Source organism: Homo sapiens, chromosome 3 (genome assembly GCF_000001405.40).
Source record: "Homo sapiens chromosome 3, GRCh38.p14 Primary Assembly".
NCBI lineage: Eukaryota > Metazoa > Chordata > Mammalia > Primates > Hominidae > Homo > Homo sapiens.
This window is the reverse complement of record NC_000003.12, coordinates 88,459,446-88,468,206: the sequence shown is the minus strand read 5'-3', so window position 1 is coordinate 88,468,206 and position 8,761 is coordinate 88,459,446. Positions and strand designations below refer to the sequence as shown.

General features: G+C 36.3%; 1 protein-coding gene across 4 annotated transcripts in view; it reads right to left on the bottom strand.

Moving 5' to 3' along the window:
* Positions 1-612: 612 nt before the first annotated feature.
* The window catches only part of CSNK2A2IP (casein kinase 2 subunit alpha' interacting protein), a 129,139-nt gene continuing 120,990 nt past the window's right edge, over positions 613-8,761 (bottom strand). For all 4 annotated transcript variants that reach the window (NM_001368167.1, NM_001368168.1, NM_001368166.1 and 1 more), the window contains one exon: positions 613-3,119. In NM_001368167.1, coding sequence (NP_001355096.1) covers positions 645-2,849 — 2,205 coding nt within the window. In that variant the 5' untranslated portion in view covers positions 2,850-3,119 and the 3' untranslated portion in view covers positions 613-644. The remainder of the gene's footprint in view (positions 3,120-8,761) is intronic.

The window sequence follows — 8,761 nt, the reverse complement described above, 5'->3', positions numbered from 1 at the left end:
CACTACCAGTAGACCCAGTGGAACAAAAACATTTTTAAAACATTTTTTATTAACTCATTTCATTTGTGTAGATAGCCATGATGAACAGGTGACTTAAGAGCCCATAATTAAAATATCAACACAGTCAGCATTAAGTAGGATTATTTGTAACAGTAGTTATTCTTTCTTCATATTTATTAACTAAAGTTGAATAAATCATTGGACTTCAGAGTGTAGGATATTGACATAGAAGAATTTTCTCTACAAACAAATAATTGAAAGGATTTCTCTTTATAGATTTTCTTACCCATTGAACATCATCTGACTTTTCTTTAAACATAGGGAAACAGATTAGCATAGATTGGCTTCTGAGGAAAGGGAATATTAATGAGCTAGATACATTTAGGGTAAGACAGATGAAGTATTTCTGGTCTATGGCCAACTATGTTAAATTCATTCAACAATAATTACAAAGTGGCTACTATAAGCCAGACATTCAGTCAAAAACATAGGATTCAGTTTTGGGCTTCTAGAAGATCACAGTCCATTATTTAACTAGAAAATAGACCTTAGGATAATAGTTCCCTGGAAATCAAACACTAGTCTCAAAGAACTAAGAGATCAATGCCTTCAAACAGACTAAAGATTAATTTAATCACAATTTCTCATTTTGTCCGGAAAAATTTGAACAGTGTGTTTGCTCCCTTTCTCCATTTTACTGTATTGTTGTTCCTCACAGGCTTTGTTTTAAGAGATGATGATTGGCTTCGATTTGGTTTTCTGGGATGCAGCTGGTAATCTTTGCTATATATAAACTCAAGCCAGGAGACCCCTGCAGGCAACCGATGGTAGCTAAGTACCTTACGGAATACAGGACGTGAGAGAGTGAGGGTCATAAACTCTTTGGAAGGAGAGGAAGAGGATGAGATGGAAAAGGAAGAGGAGGAAGAAGATGAAGAAGAGGAGTCAGAAGAGGCAGAGGCAACAGAGGAGGAGGAGGAGGTGGTGGAGGAGGAGGAAGTGGAGGAGGAGGTGGATGGGAGCAGGGATTGTGGCTGAGAATTATTTTTTTTAACATAAAACAGCCAGTCAATAGCCTGGGGCTGTTGGCCTATAACTTTGTTTTCGGGGGCTACCGCCCACCATATTTGCTTCATATTAAGTCCCTGGATATCCCGTTCAGATGTGGGGAAAAACTGCTGTATCTTCTCTACTCCTTCAAGGTTGTCTTCAGGGACTTCATTAGGCTGGTTTTCTTTCATAGGGAATGGGAGACAAGATGAGAAAGTCTCTGGTAGAGAAAGGATAAGAACTAATTTCACTTCTATTTTGCCCTCAGAATTGGCCTCAGGTGTTGGTATGACAGAAAGTGTTGCACAATGAGGATTTTTCTTTCCTCTAAGATGGTTACATGGAGATTTTAGGCAGGAAGCACAAGCTAAGCAAACCACATAATTTGATGACAAGCGAGGACCAGGATGAGGATTTGGCCTTCCCCTCATCCTTCTAAACAAAATCTGCCTACAGAGATCCCTCTGTATTCTGGTATTTGAGATAGAATTGACAATTTTATTTACCACATCATCAGGGACAGTTCCACCTTTAACAATGCAGGGCTGACTATACTTTAAAGTCCAAGGAATTTCTTTATTTGATTCTGTCTTTGGAGAAAACTGAAAGCTGCTTTTACTCTGGAGTCTGAAACCTAATGTTGAAGCAGCTGTGTTCCTGGTGCAGTGTTTGGAGCTTGATAATAATTGACCTGAGATGTTTGTTTTTGGATGGGGTGATGGTAGATGTGTGACTCTGTGTTTGCCATTTGGTGAAGTGGTATTCTGAAACTTGGAGTGACAGACAGGTGAATTCGTGGTCTGGAAGTTACAATCAAGCATAAACATTGACTGAGAATTGAGCTGAAACAATGGTAAATTCTCAGATGGGTGGACAAAATATGATGATGCTGATTGCCTTGCTTTTGAATGGGACACTGGTAAGCCTCCAATAGTGGGGTTAGAGTTCAATATAGGTGTTTTCTGAAGCCTAGAGTCAAGTAATGGAGAGGTAAGAGCAATTTGATTGGGTTTGAAAGAAGGTGATGTCCAAAATAAGTCACTTGTTTGAAGTTTTGTGTTGAGTGATGGTGAACTCAAAGATCTTTGATTGCGCTGCAATGAAGATGTCCAAAGGTAGTCCAATGAGGATGTTTTCTGAGGTTTGGATTGAAGCAATGTCGAGCTAAGGGCTTTTCGTTTGGGTCCCAAGGAAGATGATGTCCAAATGATGTTTATGGAAGGTATTTCTTGATTTTGGAGGCGAAATAATGATGAACTTGAGACTCTTTGATGAGACTTCAATGAAAGTGATCTCCAGCAAACATCTAGGCTTGAAGATGTTGTTTGAGGTTTACAGAAGGGTAATTGTAAACTCAGGGCTGCTTGATTGAGCTCCAGTGATGATGTCATGTTGAGGTCAGATGAAGACGTTGTTTGAGCTTTGGAGTGCAACAAATGAGAGTTCAGGGCTCTTTGAGCAGGCCACAATGAACTTCTCCAGTGGAGGCCTATTGAAGGTGTGTTCTGATGCTTGGCATGGAACAATGGTGAATTCAGAAACCTATCACAGAAGCTCTGTGAAATTTTGTCCTGAGATTTGGGAGAAGGCAATACTGAGCATCTCTGGACCTTCTTATTGGAGCCCAGTGGAGGTACTGCAAAGTGATTGCTATGGGATTGCACTTTGGCCATAGGTTGGTTATTGAATTGATTTAGTTTTTCACCTGTATGTTGATGTGTTAATGTATTGGCTGAGGACAGTTGGTAGAAGTAGTCTAATGGCACAAAGTGTTGACCATAATATGCTAGTGGCACCATCTTGTGTTGTAGTAGAGGTCTTTTTAAAAGCAGTTGGCTTGTGGGGATGATTTAGTAACTGTTAGTCTTTTAGCGGGAATCCATGGAAAATGGATACTTTTACATAACAGTTGCTAGCTTTTATCTTGCAATATTTCTGTTAATTCTCAAATATTATAGACTATTCCAAAATTGAAGTGTAGATGAGATTGAAAAAGATTGTCACCATTTGAGATTATCTTCAGTATTTTCTTTAGTTTCCTATACTTTTTTCTCCTGAGTAAATAATGCCTGTTAACAAAATAGTAAGGAGAGGTCAGAAGAGGTCCTGATAGAAATATTAATTTTCTTAAGTACTTTCTTGTAGTGACTACAGCACAGGTGTTATGTCAAATTCCAGCCACTACATGTGCTGCAGCCACTCAGTGCATCACTATGCATATCTTTTGAATTATACTTTCAAAACCCCCATTCATCATCTGTAAAATAGACAAATATGATATTTAACTTATTGGGCTAAAGAATAAACAAACGTATATATATTCTAACAGTGCCAAGATATTATAGATGCTCAATAAAATGCAGTAGTTATCACTGGTGCTCTTTTAATTATTGCATTTGTAAAACAAACAAACAAAAATCTGTGATAAGTTTTTGTGTAAAAAAAAACTCAGAGAAAAATAAAAAGAAAACTTCAAATGTTTCTTTTCAGTTCAGATTCAGTTACCCATGACTATCATCTTTTAGTTTACTTCCAAAAGTCTATCGCATATTTTTAGTTCTTATTTGTCACCACTGCAGCATTGAAACTTTTGACTATACCCTTTTAAAGCTCCTATTTCATTATTATCCATTATTTCTCCACACACTGATTCTCTACCCTTATCCTCTTATTTTTTTTCCAAGTCTTCACTGAATTTTTTTCTTTTGCTCTCACCCTAATATAGTTCTAAGAGTTATATTACCAGGTCTCTTCTCTTTTCAGTTTATTCCTAAGTAATCACATCGGTGATGTTCAGGATTTTCTTTCTTTATATATATAGATATATTTATTTATTTATTATTATTATACCTTAAGTTTTAAGGTACATGTGCACAACATGCAGGTTTGTTACATATGTATACATGTGCCATGCTGGTGTGCTGCACCCATTAACTCGTCATTTAGCATTAGGTATATCTCCTAATGCTATCCCTCCCCCCTCCCCCCACACCACAACAGTCCCCGGTGTGTGATGTTCCCCTTCCTGTGTCCATGTGTTCTCATTGTTCAATTCCCACCTATGAGTGAGAACATGTGGTGTTTGGTTTTTTGTCCTTGCAATAGTTTGCTGAGAATGATGTTTTCCAGCTTCATCCATGTCCCTACAAAGGACATGAACTCATCATATATTATTATTATTATTATCATGCATAATATTCCATGGTGTATATGTGCCACATTTTCTTAATCCAGTCTATCATTGTTGGACATTTGGGTTGTTTCCAAGTCTTTGCTATTGTGAATAGTGCTGCAATAAACATACGTGTGCATGTGTCTTTATAGCAGCATGATTTATAATCCTTTGGGTATATACCCAGTAATGGGATGGCTGGGTCAAATGGTATTTCCAGTTCTAGATCCCTGAGGAATCACCACGCCAACTTCCACAATGGTTGAACTAGTTCACAGTCCCACCAACAGTGTAAAAGTGTTTCTATTTCTCCACATCCTCTCCAGCACTTGTTGTTTCCTGACTTTTTAATGATTGCCATTCTAACTGGTGTGAGATGGTATCTCATTGTGGTTTTGATTTGCATTTCTCTGATGGCCAGTGATGATGAGCATTTTTTCATGTGTTTTTTGGCTGCATAAATGTCTTCTTTTGAGAAGTGTCTGTTATTACAACCCCATCAAAAAGTGGGCGATGTTTACGATTTTTAAATGAACTATAGAAGCTTCCTAAAAAGACAGAACCTTGTAGCTGGCCTAAAGTGATACAAGCATCTATCACTCAACAAAGCGACCTATGCTACTTCTTAAAGGCAATTCATAGGGTGTCATACCACACAATTTTATTTTTCAGGGTCCAAGGTTGGCTCTTCAGATTTTAAATAAAGATACATGATACAAAAAAAAAAAAAACTAAAGTGATCACAACAGATTCTGAAATCAGTCAATTAAGTCGTTGGCCTGAGGCCCTGGAAGAATGAGAAGTTCCATGACTCTTTCTGTGTTTCCATGACTTACCAACCCAAATTCTGATGGACAAATTTATTTCTTATACATGCCAACTTACCCAATTAATTTACTATCAACTCTATCATTGCTAGAAATTTCTCTTTATGTCAAGGTGACTTTTCCCATAGTAACTTTTTCTTTGCATTTATTTTTAAAGTATATCTTATTAGTACCATAATTCACTTGTTTTTCAAGCCTTACATCATTCTTTTTGGAATTTTCCAAGTACCAACAATATTAGTTACATATCATTAACTTCTTAATTTTTTTGCTTCTAGTCCTGGCTTATCTCTTGAGGTTCCAAATAGTATTTCCAAATAATCAAGCTTCGTTATCCAAAAGTTCCAAAGACAATTCAAACACAAAACAATAAAAATTTAATAAAGTTATTTCTCTTTCCAGAGAAGTCTTTTTCTATATCTTCTGTCTCAGTTCCAAGCACTTCTTCATTTAATTTAGATTCTTTGAAATCATCCCTGGCAGCTTCACCCTCCCAAGCCATTTAGACACCAAGACCTGTTGATTTGATCACTTCCATATCTTAATTCACTGTTTTCTGTAGAATGCCACCATTACAGGCACATCTTATCTAGACTGTATAATTATAGTAATTTCTGTATATTTTTCCAACATGACCTCACTCTCTCTCTTTGCCTTCTTTCCTGTGAGACATATAAAAGCAAACTCTTACTGGTGAGACACCACAGCTGCTCACTCACATATTTTCCTTGCTTTGCATATGCCTGTGTGAGTAATAAACACTGAGGTTTCTCATGCTTGTTGGACCTGGGGTGAGGGAAGAAAATGCACATGCTACAATATACTACAGACTATTCTACCAAGCTTCTAGATGGCAAAATGAAATAACTTAATGGATTTGGAGCATGCAAAGATTTCTTAAACAGAGCATACAAAGTAGTAGCCATTAAGAGTTGATAAACTTAAGACCTCCCAATAACCAAAAGACATCATATTAGAAAGAATAAAGGCAAATCACAGAATGTAAAAAAATTTACAATACATATATATATATATATATATATGAAAAAAACTCATCTCCATGATAATCTGGATATTACTAGGTAAAAAAAGGCAATGGAATTAGGATGGGCAAAACATGAACAACCACTTCACAAACAAGGATATCCAAATGGCTAACACATATATGAAAAAAAACCTCGGCTTCATTAAAATCAATGGAGTCCAGCCTGGGCAATGTGGCAAAATCCTGTCTCTACAAAAAAAACAAATTAGCTGGGCGTATTGATTCGCACCTGTAGTCTCAGCTACTCAGAGCCCAGGGAATGGAGGCTGCAGTGAGCCATGACAATGCCACTGCACCCCAGCTTGGGTGACAGAATTAGACACTGTCTCATAAAAATAAAAAATCAATAAAGTGCATATTTAAACAACAGAGAGATATTGCTACACATTATCAGAATGTGACTAACATAAAATTAAAACTAAAAAAAGCAATAATTGGTGAGTATACAGATTAAATAAAATACCAAGAAACTGCTGGTGAAAATGTTAAGTTGATACAACTCCTTTGGAAAATTTCTTAGCTTTACCATTAAATTAGTATTTTTATTTTATTTTATTTTTGAAACAGAGTCTCGCTCTGTCGCCCAGGCTGGAGTGCAGTGGCTTGATCTCGGCTCACTGCAAGCTCCGCCTCCCAGGTTCACGCCATTCTCCTGCTTCAGCCTCACGAGTAGCTGGGACTACAGGCGCCCACCACCACGCCCGGCTAATTTTTTGTATTTTTAGTAGAGACGGGGTTTCACCGTGTTAGCCAGAATGGTCTCGATCTCCTGACCTCATGATCCACCCACCTCGGCCTCCCAAACTGCTGGGATTACAGGCGTGAGCCACTGTACCTGACCTAAATTAGTATTTTTTATACATTTTTAAAAGTTTATATTCCAAACTGTAATCAACTGTCAATCAATAGCAGAATATGTAAATAAATCGTAATATAGTTCTTCAGTAATTACGAAACAACAATGAAAATTAACAGAATATATAGCACGATACAACTACAAAATAATGTTTCTTTGTTTTTTTTTTGAGACGGAGTTTCACTCTTGTTGCCCATGTCGGAGTGCAATGGTGCAATCTTGGCTCACTGCAACCTCTGCCACCTGGGTTCCAGCAATTCTCCTGCCTCAGCCTCCCAAGCAGCTGGGATTACAGGCATGCACCACCACGCCCAGCTAATTTTTTGTATTTAGTAGAGATGGGATTTCGCCCTGTTGGTCAGGTTGGTCTTGAACTCCTGACTTCGGGTGATCTACCCGCCTTGGCCTCCCAAACTGCTGGGACTACAGGTGTGAGCCATGGCGTCCATCCTCAAAATGTTTAATAAAAAGAATCATACACACAAAAAATACTTCCTAATTTTATAGTCAGGATAATAATACACTTGAGGAGGTAGAGAGTTGGAGCTACTGGTAATATTCTGTTTCCTGATCTGGATGAAGATTGCATGGATGAATTCACTTAGTGATAATGGAGCTTTAACACTTACAGTATGTGTATTTTTGTTTGTTCCTTTACTTCAATAAAAAGTATAAAAAATGATGATGATGCTAATTTAAAAAGACACATCCGAAACAAAATTGCACTGAAAGGTGAAACATTAAAGAGTAAACCAAGATCTGGTATTCAGATGTGATGAAAACTTAACGAGAGAGAGTTGGAGAGTGAGGTGGGGGCAGGTAGTGAAGAACGTAATGTTTAAATCCTGCTATCATATAAAGAGGAATAATCAAATTCAAAACAAATAGAACTAACAAGAGCCTATTTGAGATAGAAACCAGAGAAAAATAGCATTTCTGAATGTGTCCCAGTTTCAGACTTGGCAAAATGACACTTCCATTTCAAAGAAAGTATTTTGCTAGAAGCATGTAAATATTACATACAGATAACTAAAAAATGGGAGAAAATTCAATGAGGCTATAAATATGGGAGAAAAAAAATACCACCATGAAAGAATTAACTGAAATAGTCCAAATTATTTTTATAATTGAGTTCCTTCAAACTTTGAATAAACAGATATTTATAATGTTATATGAACATTTTCAGAGTACCATAAATATAGAAAAATTATCCGTTTGTTCTATGAAACTGCTGTATGTCATTCAGACATTAAAACATGATAAAAATAGTTCAAAGTTTAAAAGGAATAGAGCAATTCACTTAGTTCATTCGCAGAAATTCCCAAATAAAATAAAACACTAAATTTAACAGTATAATAAAATAGTCTATTGTGACCCAAGTTGATCTTAAAAAAAACAATGATGTTATATTATTAGGAAGCACTATACTTTGTCATTTTCATAATTCACAAATAAATCTTAATAGATGTTTTAAACACTCATTTGATAACATCCAACTTCCATTTCTCATAAAACTCTGTAAACTACTAAGAAAAACTAGTTACTTAATGATAACAAACATATGAAAGCAAAAACAAACTATTCACATGGTAGTTAAATGTGAGCTAGTCCCACTACAAGTTGATAAAAGATTAGCATATTTACTATCACTACTGCATTTAACATTGTTTAGGAAAATCTGGCCAATGTATTAAAGAAGAAAACAAAACAAAACAAGAATAAAAAATGAGACATAACCTTTGAAAAGGCAGAAATTAAATTCCCTCTACATGCATATTATATTATTAAAACCCTAATTTAGAATATAGAAA